This window comes from Homo sapiens, chromosome X (genome assembly GCF_000001405.40).
Source record: "Homo sapiens chromosome X, GRCh38.p14 Primary Assembly".
Taxonomy (NCBI): Eukaryota; Metazoa; Chordata; class Mammalia; order Primates; family Hominidae; genus Homo; species Homo sapiens.
Window position 1 is genome coordinate 18685239 of NC_000023.11, and position 25544 is coordinate 18710782.

General features: G+C 42.6%; 1 protein-coding gene and 1 long non-coding RNA gene across 20 annotated transcripts in view; one reads left to right on the top strand and one right to left on the bottom strand.

Annotated features, from left to right (window-relative positions):
• Positions 1 to 25544, top strand: part of PPEF1 (protein phosphatase with EF-hand domain 1) — a 152851-nt gene that overhangs the window by 10172 nt on the left and 117135 nt on the right. For 3 of the 19 annotated variants that reach the window (XM_047442194.1, XM_047442195.1, XM_047442192.1), the window contains 5 exons: positions 900 to 993; positions 5616 to 5856; positions 12607 to 12693; positions 15095 to 15197; positions 22421 to 22588. In XM_047442194.1, the coding sequence (XP_047298150.1) occupies positions 22543 to 22588 (46 nt within the window). In that variant the 5' untranslated portion in view covers positions 900 to 993; positions 5616 to 5856; positions 12607 to 12693; positions 15095 to 15197; positions 22421 to 22542. Of the gene's footprint in view, positions 1 to 693; positions 767 to 899; positions 994 to 5615; positions 5857 to 11099; positions 11193 to 12606; positions 12694 to 14826; positions 15198 to 22406; positions 22589 to 25544 lie in introns of those variants that run through there. The other 16 variants (XM_047442193.1, XM_017029612.2, NM_001378381.1 and 13 more) reach the window with 8 other exon arrangements.
• On the bottom strand, positions 3405 to 7449 carry PPEF1-AS1 (PPEF1 antisense RNA 1). The gene is made up of 3 exons (NR_046642.1): positions 7387 to 7449; positions 6200 to 6365; positions 3405 to 3667 (listed from the first exon to the last, which is right to left on the bottom strand). It is a non-coding gene; the product is annotated as a PPEF1 antisense RNA 1 (long non-coding RNA).

Genomic DNA, 25544 nt, shown 5'->3' on the forward strand with positions numbered 1-25544 from the left:
ATGATTTCAAGAATTGGGGATCTTTTGGATACAATTTGGGTAGAGTCCTAAGGCCATCTACAGTAATAAAAGCAAAACCAATTAGTAGGTTGTTTAATTCATTTAGAGGCTATCTGCATGCTAGCAGTTTTCCTCTGCTAAATCCTGTTAAGATGCAGTGGGTTCTGCCAGGCACGGTGGCTCACGCCTGTAATCCCAGCACTTTGGGAGGCCGAGGAGGGTGGATCACGAGGTCAGGAGATCGAGACCATCCTGGCTAACACGGTGAAACCCCATCTCTACTAAAAATACAAAAAATTAGCCGGCCGCGGTGGCGGGTGCCTGTAGTCCCAGCTACTTGAGGGGCTGAGGCAGGAGGATGGCGTGAACCCGGGAGGCGGGGCTTGCAGTGAGCCGAGATCTCGCCACTGCACTCCAGCCTGGGTGAAAGAGCGAGACTCCATCTCAAAAAAAAAAAAAAAAAAAGAAAAAAAAGCAGTGGGTTCTATTTTGTGCAGACGGAGTAGGCTGCCATGACAACTGTCTGTGAATATTATTTCAATATTAGTCATACATTTCTAGCGTCTGCTTCTGGGCTCAGCGTTCTTCTAAAGCCTGGATACAAATTTATTCTTAATGGACCTCTCCTGGACGTGTTTACAAAAAGAACAAAAACAAAACACTTTCAACTGGCTGACTTTTTTTTTCTTTCAGAAGAGAAATTTGAATGAATTCACACAACTGAAAATTGATTGTGAATCTTATTGTCATTTTTTCTTTTAAAAAGGTGATTGTGATGTGAACTTATATGGTGCTGGATTATAGATTTTACTGAATAGAAGCACTACACCAGGATTTGGAAAGTTCCCCTGTAGGCATGTAGTCCTTACAGTAAAATTATTATTTTTTTCTTCTAACAGTATCAGAAAGAATCTTGTAGTTGCCTGTGGCAGAAGATCCGACCCAAACTGAGCAAAACCAGTTTCAAACGAATCTGGTTTGAAACTTCCGAAGGTAAGATTTGATCCAGAGACTAAGGATGGAGGGCTCCGGCTCCATTTCCCTGCCTTTTGGTTGGCCCTTCCCCATGTATCAATTTCACCCCCTGGACTGGCTCTTCTCATGGTGAAACCTTGCTCAGAGCACCACACTAGGGGGAGATAAGTGAGTCTGTCCCAGCACTCTCTCCAGGTACCCCGAGATTCACTCATAATATCTTTCTTTAGCTATACGCCCACCCCAAACACTCCTTTTTGCCAGGAGAAGAGGATATGCTGTCTTAGGCCTGAATTATGTGCTTGTTCCTGAAAAGTTGCTGTTGCTTGGGGAGTGGGCTCGGATAATTGGCTTAAGTCAACCAGGGCCCGCGCTTAGAGTTGGGGGCTGCGTCAGTCCCATGCAAATCACTTGGCTAAAAAACAGGAAGCGGGGGTGATTTCGAAAAGGAAAATTGTGATTCTATTACAAGGAAGTTAGGGGACTATTTGCTAGCCACCTGGTTAGGGAACAGAATGCTGGCCTAATGATAATAATAATAGCTAACATTTATTGAATACTATGAGCCAGGCACCAAGCTGCTTTATAGTTGTATTGGTTAGAGAATGTGTTTGGCTGCCTGAAATAAGGTAAATAGAACACCAGGGGCTTAACACAGAGCGCTTGGTTTTCGTCCCACATGATACGAAGCCAGGAGATATACAGTGTCACATTGTCATCCAGGTCTCAAGCTCGTCCCTCCATCCTGCATCCATCCTGCATCATGGTTTCGCTATTCTCAGTGTGAGGCTTTCTTCCTAGTGTGCATGAGATGGCTGCTCCTCCTCCAGGCATTGTGTCCTGGTTCCAGGCAGAATAGGGGGAAGGACAAAAGAGAAGAGGCTTATGCCAGCTGAGTCTTTTCCTTTTTATCAGGAAAATAGCTTTTCTGGAAGCCTCAGCCCATAGATTTCTGCTTGTATCTCAAGGGCTAGAACTGTGTCACATGACTACCCATAGTTGCAAGGGAGCCTAGCAAATCAAGTTTTGTTGCCCGAACACTGCCACCTAGAACAAAACGGGGGTTTTATTAGTAAGGAACAGGGGGAGAATGGACAGTAATGATCAGTGGCTGCTACAATGTGTGTTAACCCATTCATTCGTTACGTCAACCCAGTGTGATTGGTGCTATCTGTAGCCTCGTTTTATAGTTGAAGCAATAGGCACAGAGAGGTTATGTAATTTGCCCAAGCTCACACAGAGCTGTTAAGTGGTTGAGCAAGAACTTGAACCCAAGCAAGCTGACTCTAGAATCTAATTCTATTATGTCCCTAGACACATCCTGACCCACTGGCCAGACCACATTTCTTCTCTAGGATGTATATCCACTTGGGAAATGCAGGCCTCTCCTGGAAATGGTAGCTAATACTTGTTTAGCACTTTATAGTTTACAAAGAGATTGCCACTTAAATTATTCTCTTTAAATATTCTTCTTTTTTTTTTTTTTTTTTTTTGAGACAGAGTCTCACTCTGTTGCCCAGGCTGGAGTGCAGTGGCACGATCTCAGCTCACTGCAACCTCCACCTCCCAGGTTCAAGTGATTCTCGTGCCTCAGCCTCCGGAGTAGCCGGGACTATAGGCGCACACCACCATGCCTGGCTAATTTTTGTATTTTTAGTAGAGACGGGGCTTTACCATGTTGTCCAGGCTGGTCTCGAACTTCAGACCTCAAGTGATCCACCTGCCTTGGCCTCCCAAAGAGCTGGGATTACAGGTGTGAGCTACAGCGCCCGGCCTATTCTCATTTTTAAAATGAGGAAACTGAGGTTTAGAGGAGTTATGTAAGTTGCCTAAGATCCCCAGGTTGAAAGTGGCAGAGCTGATATTTCCTCAAAATTATAAAAACTTACTCCAGTTTCCCTTTCTTAATCTTCCTGTTCTTCTCTGCACAGAGGAGTTCATTTCTAGTTTTTTTAAATGGCAATATTTCACTTTAGGCCCTATATTAACTTCATAACCTTCTCACGAAAACCAAACCAGAGAAATCTTGGCTCTCTCGCCTACTTGTTTTCACATAGGCCACCAGGAGGAATGTGCCACATCAGTGGGAACTGTGACAGAAGTAAGTAATGGAGGCCTGGAAAGGGAGGTGGTTTTTCTCTCACATCATATAAAATCCAGAGCTTCCGTCAGAAAATGAAAGTGTTAGTTACAAATAGCTCTTATTGACCTGTTAAAGAGTTATTAAACATGTAGACATTGCTTCTCATTAGTTACATCAGATTAATTTGTTACTTTTCTTTAAAACTATTTCATAAATTGAACTTGTCACTGAGTAAGAATTGACAGCCCACTTCACTGGGATAAATTAGAGAAGTTTCACTACATTACTGACACGTCAGTTTGCTTATGATTATTATTTCTCTCGTTCTTTCCAAGTCTTTGAAATCTTTAGCTTTTGGCATTGCTTTATTTACATATCACAACATTCTTTTGTTTTGGTCTTACTACTGAGTAAACCATAAAAATTAATTGTAGAATTAATACATTTTAGGGAGACATGAGAATTCAATCAAATACATTTAAGAAATACATTGGTTCAGTTCAGAAAGGCAGGACAACTCGAAGCAAGGGGGAGGAGGGGCGTGGCTTCCGGGTTATAGGTAGATTGAAAAATGTTCTAGTTGACAGTTGGTTGAGTTTATCCAAAGACCTGGGATCAGTAGAAAGGAGATGTCTGGGTTAAGGGACTGTGGAGACCAAAGTTCTTATTGTGCAGATAGATGAAGCCTTCAGGTAGCAGGCTTCAGAGAGGACAGATTGTAAATGTTTCTTATCCGTCCTAAGGTCTGTGTTTATATTAATACCGGAGAGGTATAATGAGGCATGTTGGACCTCTGCTTCTCGTCATGGCCTGAAGCAGTCTTTCAGGTTAAATTTTAAAGTGCCCTGGCCTAGGAAGAAGTCCATTCCAATGGTTGGGCGGGGATTAAAATTTTTCTTTTGGTTTACACTCCAAAAGCTATGAATGAGGCCAGGTGTGGTGGCTCACGCCTGTAATTCCAGTGCTTTGGGAGCCCAAGAATTTGAGACCAGCCTGGGCAAGATGGTGAAACGCCATCTCTGTAAAAAATAAAAAATTAGCCGAGTGTGGTGGCGGGCACCTGTAGTCCCAGCTACTTGGGAGGTTGAGTGAGGAGGATGACTTGAGCCCGGGAGGTGGAGGCTACAGTGAGCTATGATCGCGCCACTGCACTCCAGCCTGGGCGCGATCATAGCTCACTCTCGACAGAGTGAGACCCTGTCTCAAACAAATAAAAATAAATAAATAAAAAGAGTACTGTGTTATAGAGCAGTGCCCCTCAAAGTATGCTTCACTGTCACCTGGGAGCTTATTAGAAATGCAGCTTCACAGCCCCACCCCAGACCTACTAAATCAGATTGGGATTCAGCAGTGATTGGGCCCGGGAATCTGTGTTTTGACAAGATCCCTAGGTGACTTGTAAGTGCATTAAAGTTTGAGAAGTGCTGTTTTAGAGTTTTACGCAAATGAGTTGTAAGACTGACAGATTGTGCACCCTTTAAATTTTGGTGAAAATAAGAGCTTCGGCTTTAGTAAATTAGACCTATATTGAATCCTGGATTCTCCTTTGAAAGTCTCCCAATCCTAGTCTCCAGTTAGCTACTCCGGGTCACGAGCCTTAGCTCAACTGTATGCTTGACTCCATCCCCCATCAACACCTTCACCTAATTAATCCACATTCAACCTTCCACTGTCAGGTCAAAGATGACTTCCTCAGAGAAGGCTTTGCTCGACCCCCCACCTCACTCTCATAAAATGAATACTTGTCCTTTGCAATTTCACATTTATGATTATTTGATTCATGTTTACTTCTCCTACTAGCCTATAAGCTTTAGGAGGGAAGAGACCTTACCAGTTTTGCTAACTGGTATATCCCCAGGGTGTAGAACAGTACCCGGCACATAATAGATGCTCAACAAATATTTATTTAATGAATATATGAATGAAACCAAGCCAGGAATAAGTGCACAAAAGAAAATGCTCTGAAAATGTTTTCCAAAGGCTTCTCCGTGAACTTTTAGGCATTTGAGGCAGTAATAGTGAGGGTTTTGAAAAGAAAGCCCTGGATATTTTCTAGGACTTGTTTTTTTTTTTTTTTTTTTTGGCGGGGGGCAGGCGTGGAACAGAGTCTTACTCTGTCACCCAGGCTGGAGTGCAGTGGCACTGTCTCAGCTCACTGCAACCTCCACCTCCCGAGTTCAAGTGATTTTCCTGCCTCAGCCTCCTGAGTAGCTGGGATTACAGGTGCCCGCCACCATGCCCAGCTAATTTTTGTTTTTAGTAGAGACAGGGTTTCACCATGTTGGCCAGGCTGGTCTTGAACTTCTGACCTCAGGTGATCTACCCGCCTTGGCCTCCCAAAGTGCTGGGATTACAGGCATGAGCCATCGTGCCTGGCCCAGGCCTTGTTTTATCAACATTCCTCCAAGAAACAAACTTTTCTTTGTTTACCATGTTCATGAACACAAAAATAGTTGATAAGGAGGCAATGGTGACAAAAAGAAAGCTGGAATCTGCCTTTCAATAAGCAAGAAATAGTCCTCTCATCCAGGTCATGTCGTCCACATTCCATTGGCAGGTATTGTCATATCTGCATCCTACATTGTGAGGTCACCAAGGCAACCTATTAATCATTCTAGAATCTACCTCTTGAAGATTACAAATGAGACTGGGAAACCCTCTTCAATAAGACCTGTGTGATGATAGATTGTGTCCTGAGCCCGCAGGTCAGGCTGAAAGAGTCAACAACCAGCAAAGTGAAGATCTAGGAGTCTGTTCCCCTTGAACCTGTGTGGACCTGATCAAACCTCGAGGGAAAGGTAAGAGAAGAGCACTTAGTGGACCAGGTGAATGGAGTATGATCCGGGTAGGCATGGGACAATGATCGAAAGTTAACCTGTGGCCTCTGTCTGTTTAGTTGTTTAGCCCAACTCTTGTGGTCTTTATGTTTTATGTATGAAGTTTGTTAAAAGCTTTAATATATATGTATAGGGTGAAACTGGGTCACCTTGATGTGCTGGTCACTGAGTCACAGGACTGTGACTTTGGGGAGGCCACCTAACTTCTCTGGGCGTGGTTTCCTCTCCTATAAAATGAAGATGTCTGAGGACCTTTCTAGACAAGTCCGAAGGATCAGAGTATCTTACCACATTTCAGCCTCACCTGTTACAGAGCTCTGGGCAGAGAACCTCATGATGGTCTTGCAAGGTGACTCCATTCTCTGTCTAGATCAGTTTTGCCCAATTCCCAGTGCTTTAACATGAGAGGGAGTTGCATCAGTGTGTAGTCTTTGTTTTACTTTTGTTCTTGGAATGGCAGATTGTAGCTCCTGTAGAAGGAAAAGAAGAAGAAATAAGGAATTAGCATTGCTCTACATTGACTCATGCTAGATGTCAATCTGAGATACATGTAAAACGTAAGCACATACAAGATAAAGAAACAGATTGTGGCAATATTTAAAAATATCCTAGCTTTCTAAATTAGAAGCAGTTCTGATAAGCCTATTTGGAATTCATGCAAAACATCCATAACTCTGACAGTCTGAATTGTACATGGCAAAGGTAAATTGCTTCCAGGCAGTAATTCTAGGTGCAGGTTTAGATGGACTATACGGTAATCAAGTCTCCATTGCTTTACAGATAGCCCTCACTCCTTGGCCTCTTACTTTCCAGATTGCTTCTTTGTTAGCCTCCCTGTTGGCTCCTTCCTCTTTTCATTCTCTTTAATGTCTCTATTCCCCAGTGTTCTGCTTTTGCCTCTATAGCTTTACTCTATAAGCTCTCCCTGGCTATTTTATCTTCTCTAATCACTTCAGCTATTGTCAGCAACCTGATGACCTATTTAATCTGACTCTCTGGTCCTGATTTATTTCCTGAGCTCCAAACCCAGGCTTCTCCTGCCTGTGGGATATTTCAACAGTGAGGTCTCACAAGTACTGAAATTTAGCACACTGCTGACTGAACTCACGATTTTTCTCCACCATAAACTCGCTTGTCCCCCTTCATGTCCGACTCTTGTACCCTTTAATACCCTATTGCAATGAATATCATCATCTCTTAGACTGTAAATTATAAGAAGGCAGAAACCATGTCTATCTTGTCCACCCCTTGTAACCACAGCACCTAGCATAGTGCCTGGCACATGGTAGACACCCAGTAAATATTGTCAAGTGAATGATGAATCTATTTATTCTTCCAAACTAAAAACCCTGGAATCCTCCTCGATGTCTCTGTCTCCCTCACTCTCCATGCCCAGTCTGAGACCTGTGGGGTTTGTTACATAAAACCCTTTTACATTTGGCTCCTTCTTCCCCTTCATCCCCGCTGCCATGACTTTAATTCAGCCCTTACCATCTATCTCCTGGATTATTGCAGGAGCCTCCTCATTGGTCTTCCTGTTACCTGCTTTTCCCCATTCATCACCATCTGATCCCCAGAGTGATCTTGCAGCTTGAATCTAATCAGCTTACCCTCAGGCTCCCCTTGACTTAAACAGAGTTTGCAATCTGGCAGCTTTAAGCGGAATCCACGCAGTCTGTACGGCATTTTGAGAAAATGAGAATGACTGTATTTTGTTGATTCTAAGATGCATTTTTTTTTCACATTTTAGCAGCTCTGATATTGGGATGTGTCTTGAAATGGACAGTGACATAGTTTGATCAGTGGTGTTCTCTCTTATTGGTACATAAAACAGCAGTGTACCCTGTAATCAGTGGCTTCATAAATTTGCTGAAAAATACTCATGCTAACATTTAAAAATAAGGAGATCGTACATAAAACTATCTTCAGCTTCTCTTGGAAAATTACATCAGGCAACACTGGGCTGCGATTTCTGGATAGCAGCCGAAGATGGAGCTACCAGTAAGTAGCAGCTACCTCATTTAGACAAAAACTCGCTACAGTGTCTCATGGTTTCCACCCAGGCTGCTTTAGTCATTTGTATTATCTGCCCCAGCCCATTAAGCATTTGAAAGGACAATCCCTGACTGATAAGTTGAAGTCCAGATTCTTTGTTGTGATTTATAAGAACACAGGTGGCACCAACCTACCTCCCCCAGGTTAATGCTCCCAACCTTTGCTGTGTACTCTATGTATCCCCTAATCTCAAATATAACAGACTCCCATGTTCCCTGGAATGTCTTTCTCTATCTTTTATGCCCTACGAAACATTTCCTGGTGTTCCCAGGTCGAGCTCATTTCTTTCTGGACTCCAGTAGTAAGTATGTGGGCGTATCTCTGCAAAAACCGCAGTTACTTTTGCACTAACCTAAAGTACAGTTCTGTGATTTATTTTTTATTTTTATTTTTTCGAGACGGAGTTTTTCTCTTGTTGCCCAGGCTGGAGTGTAATGGCGCAACCTTGGCTCACCGCAACCTCCGCCTCCCGGGTTCAAGGGATTCTCCTGCCTTAGCCTCCCAAGTAGCTGGGATTACAGGTGCCTGCCACCACGCCTGGCTAATTTTTTGTGTTTTTAGTAGAGACACGTTTTCACCGTTTTGGTCAGGCTGCTCTTGAACTCCTGACCTCAGGTGATCCACCCGCTTCGGCCTCCCAAAGTGCTGAGATGGCAGGCGTGAGCCACCACGCCCAGCCAGTTCTGTGAATTTTAACACATGGATAGATTAGCATAACCACCATCATCATCAGGATATAGAACATGCCCCCCAAAACTCCCTCCTGCTAGCCCTTTGTAGTCACTCCCCTCCCTCACCCATAAACCCCTGGTAACCACTGATCAGTTCCCTGTCACTATAGTTTTGTCTTTTTGAGAATGCGATATAACTGTCTGTATCCCTTTCAGCATGGCCTCTTCCACTCAGCATAATGCCTTTGAGACCCATCCAGGTTGTGTGTATCAGCTTCATTTGTTTTTATTGCTAAGTAGCATTTCATTGTATGGATGTCCCACAGTTTGTGGGACACTCACGGAAGGACATTTAAGCTGTTTTCAATGTTTGACCGTATGAACCTGCATACACGTTTTTGCATGAATAGAAAATTTTATTTCTCTAGGATAGCTACCCAGGAGTAGGATTGCTGTCGTATGGTAAGTGTATGTTCAACTTTATAAGAAAGTACCAAACTCTTTTTCAGAGTGACTGTACCACTTTGCATTCCTGCCAGCAAAGTGTTAGAGTTCGAGTTGCTCCACATTCTAGCCAGCACTGGATATTGTATTAAAAAAAAAAATTTTAGCTGGGCACAGTGGCTCACGCCTATAATACAAATACTTTGGGAGGCTGAGGCAGGCGGATACCTAGAGACCAGTCTGAACAACGTGGCAAAACCCACTCCCTACAAAAAATACAAAAATTAGCCGGGCATGGTGGCATGTACCTGTGATCCCAACTACTTGGGAGGCTGAGGTGGAAGGATAGCTTGAGCCCAGAAAGTTGAAGTTGCAGTGAGCTGTGATTGTGTCACTGTGCTCCAGCCTGGTGACAGAGTGAGACCCTGTCTCAACCCCCCCACCCAAATTTAGCCATATTCATAGACATATAGTGGTATCTCATGGTTTTAATTTTAATTTCTGCTTCCTTGAATCTGGCCTGGAGGAACTGGAGGGAACAAAAGGTAAACTCACTGTCAGTTCAGTGGTACTTCAAACTCTGATCTGTTTCCTTCATCTGCCGTCTGTTATTTACTTTTCAGAGTCCTCATGTTACTTGTTTATTGCTGTGGGACAGATTACCAAAAAATCTAGTGGCTTAAAACAACACATGTTTATGATCTTACAGTTTCTGTGGGGCAGAAACCCAGGCGTGGCTTACCTGGGCCCTCTACGTCAGCATCTGTCGTGAGCTGCTGCACACAATGTGTTGACTGGGCTGCTGTCATCTGAAGGTTTGACTGGGGAGGGATCCACTTCCAAGCCCGTATGGTTGTTGACAAGAGTCAGTTCCTCATGGTCTGTTTGACTGAGGGCCTTAGTTCCTTGCTGGCTTTTGGCTAGAGACTTCCCCCAGTCCTTTGCCACTTGGGCTTCTCCCACATGGCAGCTTACTTCATTGAAAGCACAAAAGCTGTGAAGATAATAGGGTCTGCTAGCAAGACAGAAAATCACAGTCTTTTATAACCTAGTCATAGAAGTGACATCCCAATACCATTGCCATGCTCAATTGATTAGAAGCAAGTTTCTGGGTCCAGCCTATGCTGAAGAGAAGGGATGAACACAGTGGTGTGAATTGACCAGGAGGAAGGGATCATTGGGGGCAGCTTAGAGTCTGTCTGCCACAGTCCTCAAATAGCTGTTTCATGGATTCTGTCCAGGTTTTATAGCTTTGTCCCATGAGAGAGAAAGAGTAGAGTGGGTAAAATGTCCCTTTTCCATCTTACCCAGACCAGAACCTTCTGTGAAGCTTTTTGATTTGATTTATGAACATTCAGGGTTAATTTAAGGAATTTCTTTAAACTCAAGCCATCGAGGACCAAGCTAGGGTTAGATTAAGCAGTGGTCCGAATTAAAATTCTGATATCTATTAATCTATTTATTAAATCACAACCAAGGAAAGCTCAACTTTTGTATCTAAGATGGAGCCTTTCGAAAGCTGAATTTCCCCACCTTAAAACGTGATGGCTGTTTTAGCCTGTCATTGTGGCTGCTCACCAGGTGACCCCAATAGAAACATCTGGCAAGCACTGACTTTTATGAATTTCTTCCATCTGATAGTGACTCATAACCCACTTTTAATTTCTTTTAATGACTTCCTAATGACTTGCCAGATCTGGCCTCTCTTTTCTCCTAGTTAATGTGATTTTTCAGTACCCAGAATTCACCCTTGAAAATATGCTTGATCCTTTCTCTATTTAAGTGAAAAATTACTTGGTATTCCTTTCTTCTCTTCACAAGGGAGCAGGATCTTTAAATTAGAGTCCTTCGATTTTTTTTTTCTTTTGAGACAAGGTCTTCCTCTGTTGCCTAGGCTGGAGTATAGTGGCTCTATCATGGCTTACTGCAGCCTCGATCTTGCAGGCTCAAGTGATCCTCCTGCCTCAGCCTCCCAAGTAGCTGTGAGAACAGGCATGTCCCACCACACCCAGCTAATTTTTTTTTTTTTTTTAGTAGAGAGGTCTTGCTATGTTGCCCAGGCTGGTCTCCAGCTCATCAGCTCAAGCAATCCTCCTTGCTCAGCCTCCCAAAGTGCTGGGATTACAGGTATGAGCCACTGCCCCCAGCCTTTTTGAACTTTTTTCATCATGGACCCCTCACAGTAAGTTTCGTGAGAATGGACCAAGCATATTTATTTATTTACAGCTAATACTGCTGAACTCATTTATTGTGTACATGATCAAATATACATGGAAATAGAAAAGTTAACAAGAATAAGAAAATAGATAAAAATATGAGTTCTGATGTTTTGCTTTCTGCTCTCCAGCAGATCTCTGTGCATGTGCTGTGGGGAAGCTACCCCAGTTTTGGAGACTACTAGGGGTTAGGAAGTGGTGATTGGGTGTGATTGCTTGCCAGTGGCCCCAGCATCAGGAGGCTAGCTCAGAGTCAGAAGAGCTGGGAGGCCAGCCCTGTCTGAGCTTCCCCCCTTTGGTGCTACGGGGCTTCGAGGTATCAGGAGCCACAAGCAGACACCTTAAGTACCCACCATCAAATAGATCTGCACATGCCGCTGTTTTCTTAGTCTCCTCTCCAGTCCAGCTGCTTCACCTCAATTCTAGCATACTCCTCAGGGTATGTCATGATCAATAATGGGAGCTGCCCATTAGAACTACTTTGCCTTGGCAGAAATTGGAACTGTGGCCAGCTCCAGGAAGCTTGTGAAATAGGAGAGGCTTGCCTACAAATCCCTCTCTCCCTTGAGAGGTAGCCAGGCTTCTCCATTCCCCTCTGTCTTTCCATAGTTTGCTATTGCCATGGACTAACTAAATGTCCTGGGTTGGGATCCCTCAGAAGCAGAGCCTGAGATAAACATTTGAGAGCAAGTTTATTTGGAAGGCAGGAGCAAAGAAAGTACAGCAGTGGGGAAGTGAGAAAGGAAGGGAAGGCAATCAAGAGAGATTAAGTCCAGCCTGAAGAGGTGGAGAGGGCAGCCATTTTTCAATCTTAACATCCGGGCACCTTTATGTAATTGCAGCATTATCATTAGGAAAGAAGTTCATTTTGATTTCTAGTTCCCCTCTCCCATTTCACACCCTAGTTAAGTACTGTAGAATATGCATAGCTATGAGAACCCCCTCTTCCCACCTCTTTTCCTCTGGCTGATGCCTAGTCAGTCATCAGGTCTCGGCCCGTGCATCACTTCTAGGAAGCCTTCCGTCATCCCCCTTTCTGAGATAGGGCTCTTTCTCTGCGCCCCTGGAGTGTCTCGTACCTGTTTTATTAGATATTTTATCATACCATATTGCTTTCATTTATTCATGTAATAGATATTTATTATGTGCCTGGCACTGTTTTAAGAACCTAGTATGTATATTTCAATATCCAATCATGTGTATTTTTTTTTCTCTGCCATTTGTGTCTCTGTCCCTCAGTAGCACCTGCTACATAGGAGGTGCTTGCCACATAGGAGGTTTAAAACTGTTAACATCACTCTGCCCATCATTTTTTCTTTTTTCAGGCTGGGAGAACACATCCCTGGTCAGCTGTAGGAAAGCCAGAGAGCATTTGAGAAGAGGCTGAAGCTTGAATTTTGCAAACACACAAGGTGCTGACTGAGGCAGTAGAGTGTAATGATTATAATAAGCAGGGGTTCTAGAGCCAAAGTGCCCGGGTTCAACTCCCAGTTCCACCCCTCATTTGCTGTTTGACTTTAGGCCACAATTCCTAATGGGTGAAGAGGGATCGTAATAGTATATACCTCAGAGGATGGTGTGTGGATTAAATAAGATTAACATATGTAAAATTTAAAAGTACCTAGAACATGGTCAGTGCTCAATAGATATTATCATTATTGTGATTTATTCACTTACATCAGTGTTGGTTCATTTAACAGTTGGAGGCTGACCATAAGACCCCTTTGGTGCTCACAGTAACATTTCAGTGTTCTTTCTACAATGGAAAAATACAATGAAGTTATTCATTCAAAGCAAATTCTGAGTTTTCAACAAATCACATAAAGGGCACAGCCAATCCAATTCGTGGTCCAGGAGCTGGCCATTAAAATAACAACCTAAATCATGAGTTTTTTTTCCCTGCTTTCCTTTCTTTCTGTGGTTAAACAAATATTTGGTGAGTACCTCTTTTGCATTCAGTAATGAGTAGGTTTAAAACTGAGGGTGTGGCCAGTCGCAGTGGCTCACACCTGTAATCCCAGCACTTTGGGAGGTCAAGGCAGATCACCTGAGGCTAGGAGTTTGACACTAGCATGGCCAACATGGTGAAACCTCGTCTGTACTAAAAATACAAAAATTAGCTGGGTGTGGTGGTGTACACCTGTAATCCCAGCTCCTCGGGAGGCTGAGGCAGGAGAATCGCTTAAGCCTGGCAGGCAGAGGTTGCAGTGAGCCCAGAATGCACCACTACACAGCCTGGGTGACAGAGTGAGACTCTGTCTTAAAAATAAGAAAACACACACACAACTGGGGATGCCAAGAGGAATGAAACAGATCCTTTCCCTTTAGGATTTCACATGTAAAAGGGCAAATTACAGCACACTTTGAGCAGCTCTATAATTGGACGCACACATGGCTTTGAGAGCCAGAAGACAGAGTGACTAATTCCCCTTTGGTGATTCAGGAAAGGCTTCACACAGAGGAGGTGACATTGGAACAACTGTATCTAGACATAGCCATAATTTAATGGCTGAGGATTGAATAGGCATTTGGTTGGGAGAGCCAGCTGTATAGCTACATTGTCCACTATTTTTTTTGGAGCCTGAGTAATTATGCTATCATTTACAATTTGTGTAGCAGCCTCATCAGGTCCTACTCTTGGCGTCCCCACCATGGAAACCTGAGTGGTCGTATTGCCTCATAATGAGGCCCTCTGGTGATGTTAATATACTAATAGGACAGAAGCCCAGAGCCACCTTGCCAGTTATTTTTCAAGTAACTCCATCCGATTAAATGGCAAACTAGGTAACCACTTTACTAGATCTCCCGTGGCTCTCAATTGCAGAAAGGAATCGAGCTAAAGAGCAGCTTGGGTGGGGTTATGAAATGTTTATGGCTGGAGTCCTGTAAATTTTAGCTGGCAAAGCCTAAGACCAGTAAGCTTGAAAACACGTATGCTGTGTCACCAGCTAGGAAGAGTTTGCCAGGGAAACTGCTGGCAGCGCGGCCGCGATCAGTATAAGACTCTGTGAACAAGAAGACCACCACTAGATTGCCTCGAACATAGCAGAACTGTGGCTGCTGGCATCCATTACTGCCATGGGCACTTTGAATTTTCAAGTATGTCTTTCTCCTCCCCTAAACTCAGCAAGATTACAGGCCAACTTTCCTTTCCCTTTCTGCTGATGAAGGGAGGTCATTCTCCCTTCACAGGTAGGTTCTCCAATAAGGAGCTACTGAACAGCTGGTGGAGTATAAATGTCTTATGACCCAGTGGCTGCTCCCTCAAACCCACACCTTTCTAGAACCAAGGAAAAATGTTTAGTTTTTCCACTTCTCTTAATTGTACCAGGTTAATGTAACGTTTTCTAAAAATTATCCTCAGTTTACCTAAAGAGTGCTTTTCTGCTCTTATTTACTGAAATTCTCTTTTCTATTTTGTATTGATGGCAGATTATGCACACAATAGCGTGGTCCTGCCCATGCGGAGCCTGGTCCCTTTGGAAGCAGTCACGTGGCCGCTGACTTTGCAGCCCATTACTTGAGTGCATCTCCAGGCCAGGAACAGAGCAGGGCTGGGGCAGAGAGCTGTGCTCACGGCCAGTGCATTGTCTCCCAGATTCGTGGCTCTGGGCTTGCCTTCCCGGCTGAAAGGCAAAGCAGCCTGGCCCTGTTCTAGTTATTTCTTTGTGTATATATGTTTGTTTATTTATTTAAGCAAGAGCTCTCTCTGCAGAGTGGGGTGTGTGTGTGTGTGTGTGTGTGTGTGTGTGTGTGTGTGTGTTTGTGTGGGGTGCTTCAGAGAGGGCTGAAATTGTACCTCTTTTCTTTCAGCCCTCTGCATTTCCCCAGAGAGAAGGTTTTTTTCTCGTCTTCATTTCCTTTGAAACACCTGGGGTGAGGAAAAACCTCTACATTGGCCAAGCAGAAGAAACAGGTAATATGTTTGTTTATTCTTAGGCATTTGGGGCAAGCAGAAGTCTACATCATAAACATATATCGTGTGGCAATGGAACAGGGAATGTGTACTCCTTGGAGTATATCTTACTGCTTTGCAATTTCTCGGAATGATTGTTCTCAAAAATGCTGGTTGTAAATCAGTTGCCATCAGTTGAAGAAGACGTACAGATGACTTGGCAATCTGAAGGATTGTGGCCTATTTCAAATGAACTTGATATTTGGAAAATCTCCACAGTCACTTGGATTGAGAGCCAGAAAATGAGGGAAGGGGTCCTTTGAGAAACCCTTCTAGGTCCCCTCAGGGAGTATTCTCCAAACTCCACTGCACACCTTCATATTTAGAAATCTTCCTTTAGTTCCCTTGGCGTCTTGTCGTCTTAGAGGTTTCTAGCTATCTGTAAGAATGGAACCAGAATTCCTTACAGTGTTCAAAATTCTCTTTAGTGATTTAGTTCGTATGCGAACTGATCAGATTGGATCCTGAAACCAAGGCATAGCCTTTTAGTGGGCAGACATTTTTGTTCTTTAATGATTAAACAGAGCGAGTCTTCAGTTCTGCCACTAATCAGCTACGCCAGGGAGTGTGTTATTTGAGTCTCAGTTTTGTTCATCTGTAACATGGTGATGACGATACTACCTTGAAAGTTTGCTGTGACAGTGAACTGAAATAATAGAAATATAAAGCACCCACTATGCTGGGTAAATAGTAGTCCCTTAATAAATAGTAGTGATTTTAGCTACTATTATGATTACTGGTATAGCATTCTTTCCGATCTTAGACCTCTCAAGGGAAAAGAGCCCATTGCTTTGCGACTCTTAAATTATACCAGAACCTGTAGGTACCCAAAGGGTTTAGTCTTTGGGAAGCCCCAGACAAAGCATTCTGAAGAAAGAGACTTGAACAAACACAGTGGGTTCCCACCCATGCATGGCCCCTCCTAACTCATCAGCTAAAAACAGTTGGTCTTTGTTCAAGCTAGTTTTTTCCCACCACTCAGTCCTCAGTACAAGTCAGTAAGATATGCATTATTATCACTGTTTTCTTATGAGGAAACTGAGGTACAGGGGAATTAATGACTAAGAGTTCAAACTCCTGTTGTCTGACTTCTAAACCCAAGGCTCCACTGGGCCAGCATTAGGCAGTTAGGAACAATAGTTCTTGAGATGCTTTACTTCAAAAGGGCCCCTTGCTAGGCTCTTTGGGAAATAGTGGTCAGCTCTTTCTGAGAGATTCACAATGTATGTTCATATATTAAAGGCTCTGAGAAGTCCTGCAGTAAAGAAACCTGTCCAGCTCTACATCCCCTGAACTTATTATGTAATAGTGGGACCTTTATTTTGGCCTTAGTCCTAGAATAATAAACCACATAGAACTATTCTTCCACAAACACACTTTGGAAAACCTGGCACCAGGCCACGCTGTTTCCTGATTACAATCATGTCTGATATACCAGCAGACACTTTCAAACACCTTCTGGTGGTCAGTATAGTTTCCTCCCTTTTCTTATCCTCTCATGTGGCGAGACCCAGGAAGAATCACCAGCTTGGTCTTACAGACCTCCCCTTACTCATTTAAGACCCCAGACATAAGTAATTGCTCCACTGTTCTACTGGAAAGGTAGTGATGGAAGGGAACTCTCTGGCACGGGCTGCCAGGGACTCCTCTGCCTCACCCTATGCCTCTGCATTATATTTAGGCCACAGACATCAGGCTATAAAACCTCTGTGGCAATGAATACCAAGCAGAATGCAATAGGGTGAGCCTGATGAGGCATCTGTTCCTCATGCTAGCACAATCTACGGGGGAAGAATTACACCTGCCTGCTTCACTCCCACTGTGGTGGTCGGGGGTGGGGGTAGAGGGTGTTGGTATCAGTTGAATGACTATGGGTTCCAGGTTTTCAGGACTAGAGCTAAAGCCAATTTCTTGCTAAAGCCAACATCTCTAGGAAAAGCTGAATTCTAGCATAGGAAACTACGAAACTGACATCTAGAATGCCAGAGAGGGTCGTGTCAGGGTGGCTGAGCCAAGGTGTGGAAGTTGGATAGAGATGAGCTTAGAAATCAGACCACCTTAAGAATGAACAAGAACAACTCGGGGAGGCTGGGCTAGTGGTTGGAGGGTGCTTGGTGGCGAACGTTAGTTTGTCCCCACGGCCTGTCTTTTGTACTTTCCTTGTATTTTCAGCATTGGAAGTGAAAGATTAGCATGAAAAAAATGGAAAATTATCAGTTCCACCCAGTCACCCCCAACACACACACAGTAAAAACCTTTTAGCGGAAGGCTTTCCTTTTGCAAATTATAAGTGAGTGCCAATGATGAGTCATTATTTCATGTTTACTCTTTAAAACCATCCTTGGTATATATTAGAAGGGACAGCAGCAATGGGCAAGTTTCAAGCTGTTTTTTTGCCAAGATCCACCCAGCGGCTCATGTTACCCACTAGGACATTCTTGGGCGTTTGTGAACCCTGTGGAAGCCCCCCACCTCTTTGAGCCTGAGAACCCTTTTCAGGCCTCAGGGAATCACTTCTTCAGAGACTTCTTCAATGCACTTAAACGCTAACAGAGGGTGGGAAATGGAAGCAGCTTAGATTTTACCAAGTCATGGAAAATCCCCAATCATTTTTATCAGCTTTACGTCAGAGATGTCCTCAAAGGCTCACGCACTGCTTACAAACTCACTTCCCTCTCTCCTGGAAGTCTAGGTGGGGCAGTACATGGGAGGGGTAAGTGGCATCTTGCTTTAACCAGCTCATATTTTGGTGAGAATGAAAAAGAACTGACTTTTTTTGTAACCTATTACCTGAGAGAAAAACAGTTAAAAATAAACTGATAATAATTATTTAATAATGTAAAAATTATTATAGCCAATTTTTTCTAATGGATAATCAAAAAATTCTAGAACATCATGTCTTTCCATCATGATTTTAAAACTTTCTTTAAAAATTATGTATAAGTACTACCCCTTTCTGATTTAATAAAATGCTTTTGTATAATTGAATAGCACCTACCTGTGCACAAAATGATGGATTAATAATGACTTTTAGCAACTAAATTTTTAAAGAACTCTGGCCTAGGAATATTGATTCCTTTGTTCATTCATTCATTCATTTAGCATTATCCAACATCTGCAATGTGAAAGGCACCATGTAGGTGCCAGAGATTCAAGGGCTACTTTGGAAGTTGCCCGTGGGGCTAATAGTCTAACAGAAATATACTCAAGTTTGATGCTTTTTAGTTCTTACTGAATCTTTTATATGCAGTTGTGTTTGTTGTGGATTAACTGAGGGGTGACTGAAAACCAAATGCCTCTGGAGAGATATTGAGACAGTGCTTTTTTTTTTCTGGAAAAAGAAAATCGAAATTGAAATATGTCAATCAGTCCAATCAGTGTTTATGGCCTACTAAATGCTCAATTCTTTTTTTCCCCTGTTTTCTTTTTTAAATTAAAAAACATACCTTTTTTTTTTTTTTTTTTTAAAGTCAGGATTTCACTCTGTCACCCAGGCTGGAGTGCAGTGGTGTGATCACGGCTCGCTGCATCCTTGACCTCCCAGGCTCAGGTGATCCTCCCACCTCAGCCTCCTGAGGAGCTGGGACTACAGATGTGCACCACCATGCCTGGCTAATTTTTTGTATTTTTTGGTAGAGATGGGGTCTCCCTATGTTGCCCAGGCTGGTCTCGAACTCCTGGGCTCAAAGGATCCATCTGCCTCAGCCTCCCAAAGTGCTAGGATTACGAATGAGAGCCACTGTGCCCAGCCCCAATTCTTATGTCTTCATAAAAAGGGGTGGAAAAAATAGCATGAGGATGGAGCGAAGCCCAAGCGAGATTTGGATACTGTTGGAAAATAGTGTTTCTTCAACTGAGATATGGGGATTCCTTGCATCAAAGTTCTCGGCATGGTGCACTTTAAATGTGTATTCCAAGGCACTGGACTTTTGAATCTGAGTATTGTTAGTAAAGCCTGGGAATCTGCATCCCCCCACCCCCAATAAGTCTTGTGAGCACTCGAGTTGGAGAGCACTGATCTAGGCACCTGGAGAATGTCACCAGGACTAGATGAATTCCTAGATGAACAGTGCCCCAATTTCAAAAATGAGAAAAGAATATATGCTAGAAGCCACAGACTTGATATGACCTCTGGAAAAATTCAGCTTGAAATAGATGGAGCCAAAGCATTTCTAGGAAAATGTGATCATCACTATGCAGCACCGTGGGTTTTCTAAAATACCGTCTCTATTACAGATTGTCAAACTTTGTTGTGTATTAGAATCTGGAAAACTGAAAAAAATCTTGATGCCTCATCCTCCACCCAGTACCAATTATGTCAAATTATCTGGGGGTGGGACTTGGGCATCAGTATTTTTTAAACCCCAAGAGATTCTGACTTAATGAGGTGCAGGCTGAGTACTGGGAGTTTGAAAAGCTCCCCAGGTGACACTCATATGCAACGAAGTATGACAAGCACAGGTCTATATGACATGGGACAAGTTGCTTAACTTCCTTGCACTTTGTGTAAATACTAGGTAATTTTAAAGGTCTCTCTCACCTTTAAACTTCTATGATTTTGTATTAAAAATGTTGCCAAATTGATTTCCTTCCTTTCTTCCTCCCCTGCCCTTCCTTCCTTTTCTCCTCCTCCTTCCCTCTCTCTTCTTTTGCTGGAATAAGCTGGAATGTCAAAGTATCAAAATATATACATATCATCATTTTATTAAAATATTTAGTAAAATTCTCCAGGATGTCTCACAGATAAATGAGAGTTATGATAGGTGAGTTTACCAGCTAACTGAACAAATGTGCTCAGCGAGTATGAAGGTAACGGATCTGTGGTGAACCTGGAGGATGGTTTGGAGTGGGATGCCACAGGGCTCATCCTGCCCTTGGATCTGATCTTGTTAATGTTCTTTAGCCATGATGTAGATAAGGAAGACACGAAAGAAATGCCTATCGAATTTGGAAATAAAGCCAAGCACGGTGGCTGATGCCTGTCATCCCAGCACTTTGGGAGGCTGAGGTGGGCACGTTGCTTGAGGCCAGGAGTTTGAGACCAACTTGGGCAACATGGTGAGACCCCATGTCTACAAAAAAGTACAAAAATTAGCTGGGCATGGTGGCGCATGCCTGTAGTTCCAGCTGCTCAGGAGGCTGAGGTAGGAGAATCACTTGAGCCCGGGAGGTGGAGGCTGCAGTGAGTCATGGTTGCGCCACTGCACTCCAGCCTGGGTGACAGAGCGAGACCTTGTCTCAAAAAATAAATAAAAATTTGGAAGTAACCCAAAGTTTAGGAAGGCTAATTCATTCAATACATAAAATAATCAGGTTCACCTCTGGTCAGAAAATCTGTTTACTAAGCTTATTGTTATTTTCAAAACATGGCCATAGTTCAAATATTTTGCTTATTTTAGTTTTCCCTTTCTTCAGTCGAGTTGAAATTTTGAAGCTTTTGGTGTAGTACCAATGGAAAGATAGATATGTCAGTTGTTTGCTGACTTTGTGCCTGTCAAGAAATGCAAATAGGGCTGGGCAAGATGGCTCACACCTGTGATCCCAGCACTTTGGGAGGACAAGGTCGGAGGATCACTTGAGCCCAGGAGTTTGAGACCAGCCTCGGCAACATAGGGAGACCCTGTCTCTACAAAAAAATAAAATTAGCCGGGTGTCACGGCACATGCTTGGGAGGTTAAGGCTGCAGCGAGCCGTGATTGTGCCACTACACTCCATCCTGGGTGACAGAGTGAGACCCTGTCTGAAAAAAAAAAAAAAAAAAAAGGAATGCAAATATATTAGATCAGGTTGGTTTGGAGCATCACAAAATAAAGGAAACATCACCCTAAAAAGTGACGTGACAGTATACTATGGAAAGGAATTTTGTTGAAAACTCCCGTGAAGTGATTATGGGAGTCAGGGAGCTCATGAGAAGGACTATAGAACACAAAGTTAGACTCCAGAGGGGCCTCAGCAGTGCCCAGAGAGCTTGTTTAAAAGGGCACTCTTGGCCAGGCACGGTGGCTCACGCCTGTCATCCCAGCACTTTGGGAGGCCGAGGCAGGTGGATCACCTGAGGTCAGGAGTTCGAGACCATCCTGGCCAACACAGCAAAACCCCGTCTCTACTAAAAATACAAAAAATTAGCCAGGTGTGGTGGCGCATGCCTGTAGTCCCAGCTACTAGGGAGGCTGAGGCGGGAGGATCACCTGAGCCTGGGAGGTTGAGGCTGCAGTGAGCTGTGATCACACCACTGCACTCCAGCCTGGGTAATAGAGCGAGACTCCGTCTCAAAAAATAAAATAAATAAAAGGACACTCTCACAGATTACAATTCCTAAATTTGGGGGGAGGTTTCAAACCTCCTTTTTTTTTTTTTTTTTTTTTTTTTTTTGAGATGGAGTCTCGCTTTGTCGCCCAGGCTAGAGTACAGTGGTGCGATCTCAGCTCACTGCAACCTCCGCCTCCTGGGTTCAAGCGATTCTGCTGCCTCAGCCTCCTGAGTAGCTGGGATTACAGACATGTGCCACCATGCTTGGCTAATTTTTGTACTTTTAGTAGAGACGGGGTTTCACCATGTTGGCCAGGCTGGTCTCGAACTCCTGACCTCGTAATCCGCCCGCCTCGGCCTCCCAAAGTGCTGGGATTGCAGGCGTGAGCCACTGCGACCGGCTGCCTCCTTTTTTTTAAAACAAATGTTCCCAACTTATTCCGCGAAATACTGTCAAAGAACTCACTTTGAATTTCAGCATAGCTGTTAAATATGTTGTTTTTGTCTCATAGTCAACTTCCAATTTGTGTTTTTAAAAGCCTAGATAGGTTGAATTACTTTGAGCTGAAAACCAAAACAGTTAATTATGTCAGCTCCTCCACATCCCATTCCCCATATTTAAATTAGAAAATCGTACACTCTCATATTTCGATTTTTCTTTTCATTTTGAATGCTCTATTTTATACAGAGCTGGATGTGACCTAGACATGGAGAAACTCATTTATGTCTAGCAGAGAAGCAGCCTATAGCTGCTCTGTAGCTGCTGCTGTGTTTTGGAAAATAAGCCAGGATTAGATTATGTCTGATCACTTTCCACATCACATGATGAACAGCGATTCAGAAGAAGCGTAAAATGAATCCTGCTGAGCAGCCCCTCAGCTACCATGTGGTTAACTGGCGGTTTCCTTCCCTCCCTCCTGTGTATTCCTCATTAGAATCTATGACTGAAGAGGATCGGCTAAGAGTGGTTCCTCGCAGCTTAAAGGGAGGCACTTTTCACACTCTGTCTTAAAATCAGAAGTTGAATTCATGAACACATATGATTTAGATAGAAGTCATGGGATGCAGCAGTTCTTCAACGAAAACCAGGAGATCTGACACATGTGAGTACTGGGAATGTGCCTGTGGTTATGAATGAAAAGGGGAAAATGAGCTGCCCTCACCCTCTTCTCCTTTCTCATTTACTCCCACGATGCTCAAGCTGCCCTGTGTGATTTGCACAAGGCATCGTTAGAGTAGCATAGGAAACTACATTTAGGAAGATGTAGCTTTGAATTTATGAAGTACCATAAAGTATTGTCTTAGAGATATTTTGTGTTTGATTTAATTTCATTCGATAATGTACCAATATAAAATCTCAATTTAAAACTCAGTGGCAGGGAACAAGAAAGGCAGTGTAATTTATATGTGTTTCTTCAATACTTTTATAAATAGCTATATCCCTACTTTTGTGACATTTAGTAGCATCATTGAATTTTTATTGGATTTTATAACTCAATGATCACATTATTTCTATATCTATTCAACACAGAACTTCATGAGATTTGCATCACGTTTTAAAAATAATCTAGGAGAATTGGGAGAATGCTAGATCATCTGTTTCCAAAAAAAAGGTGTATTGTTTCTAAATAGATGGCATGCCTTTCTGTACCCCCATATAATTAGAAGCTTAAATATTCACTTTGTTTATTTTGTACTGAGGTTCTTTCTCATGGCTATTGGCATCTAGTTGAAACAAACTTGAGCATTTAAGGGATAGAGTTTCCAACAAGCAAATTAAAATAAAAACAAGTAAATAAGCTGGGACAATTAATATGAGTAATTTGCTCTTAAACTCCACTTCTTTGATGTCTAGGTTATAGGTAATTCCCCCAACTTCTATTCCACGTCTTGCCTTTGGAAGTTTATTCAGGCTTAAGGTGGAGGGTTTAGGATGCAGAGTGTGCTATACTAATTAGCGTGGGATGTTTTACTTTGGGAATCAAATGTTATTCTCCTACCCAGCTGACTTGTGCTGATGATGTAGGAAACTCATCTCTGAAAGTAGGAAGGGACATAGGAGGTGTACTGACTCTTTCAAATCTTTAAGCATGTCATGAAATAAATCTTTCAAAAGCTCCATCTGAACTCTACTGCTGTAGTAGACGTTTATTAGCAGAGAGTAAAGAGAAATTATCTTTTTATATCTAGGATTACTCACAGTTCTTTAAATTTAGCCAAATTTCCTAGGTTAAAAAAAAAAAAGCCAAGTCCAACTTGTAAAAACAAATCCTCTCTCTTTTTGAAATACTTTTCAACTTTTAAAACATTGCATGTAAGTGGAAATATTAGCTTAGATTTTTGGATTGCTTTTTCTTTCAAATACCTGTGATTTATTGAGGTGAAATTCACGTAACATAAAATTAGCCATTGTCAAGTGAACAACTCAGCAGCAGTTGGTATGTTCACAGTGTCGTGCAACCACAACCCCTATGTACTTCTGAGACATTTCCAACACTCCAAAGTAAAACCCCTTATCCATTAAGCACTTTCTCCTCTCAGCCCCTGGCAACCACAAATCTATATTCAGTCTCTATGGATTTATCTATTCTGGACATTTCATGTAAATGGAGTCATATATTATGTGACCTTTTGTGTCTGGCTTTGTCCATGTTGTAGCATGTATCAGTACTATATTCCTTTTTATTGTGGAATAATATTTCATTGTATGAATATGCCACATTGTATTTATCCATTCATCAATTGATAGACATTTGGATTGTTTCAGCTTTGTTTTTTGTTTTTTGTTTTTTTTGAGACAGTCTTGCTCTGTCACCCAGGCTGGAGTGCAGTGGGGCGATCTCGGCTCGCTGCAACCTCCGCCTCCCAGGTTCAAGCGATTCTCCTGCCTCAGCCTCTGGAGTAGCTGGGATTACAGGCACACACCACCACACCTAGCTAATTTTTGTATTTTTGGTAGAGACAGGGTTTCACCATGTTGGCCAGGCTGGTCTCGAACTCCTGACCTCAGGTGATCTGCCCGCCTCGGCCTCCCAAAGCGCTAGGATTACAGGCGTGAGCCACTGTGCCCGACCTGTTTCAGCTTTTTGACTGTTATGAACAATGCTGCTGTGAACATATGTTTTCCGTTCTCTTGGGTATATACCTAGAAGTGGAATTGCTGGGTCATACGGTAGCTTTATGTTTAACATTTTGAGAAATTTCCAAGCTGTTTTCCCAAGTGACTGCACCATTCTACATTCCTACCAGCAGTGTATAAAGGTTTCAATTTCTCCACATTTTCAGCGATAGTTGTTATTGTCTGTCCTTTTGATTTTAGTCATCCTAGTGGGTATGAAGTGGTATCACACCATGGTTTTCATTTGTATTTCAGTAGTGACTAATGACATTGAGCATCTTTTCATGTGTTTATTGGCTATTTGTATATCTGCTTTGGAGAAATGTCTATTCAGATCATTTACCCATTTTTAATTGAATTATTTATTTTTATATTGTTGTAAGATAAATTTATATATTCTAGATACAAGTTTCCTATCAAATATGTGACTTGCAAATATTTTCTCTCATTTGTTGAATTCTCTTCATCCTTTCTTAATGGTGTTCTTTGAAGCACAAAAGTTTTTACTTTTGATGAAGTTCACTTTATTTTTTCTTTGGTTGCTTGTGATTTTGGTGTCATATCTAAGAATCCATTCCCGAGTCCAAAAAGATTTTTGCTCACGTCTTACTTTAAGAGTTTTGTAACAACTCAACAAGAAAAAAAAGATAACTCCATTAAAAAGTGGGCAAAGGTCATGAACAGACATTTTTTCAAAAGAAGGCATACAAATGGCTAACAAACACACGAAAAAAATGCTCAACATCACTAATCATCAGGTAAATGCAAATTGAAACCATAATGAGATACCACCTTACATACCGGTCAGAATGGCTATTACTAAAAAGTCAAAAAATAAGAGATGTAGGCAAGGATGTAGGGAAAAGGGAATGTTTATCACTGCTGGTGGGAATGTAAATTAGTACAACCTCTGTGGAAAACATTATGGAGATTTCTCAAAG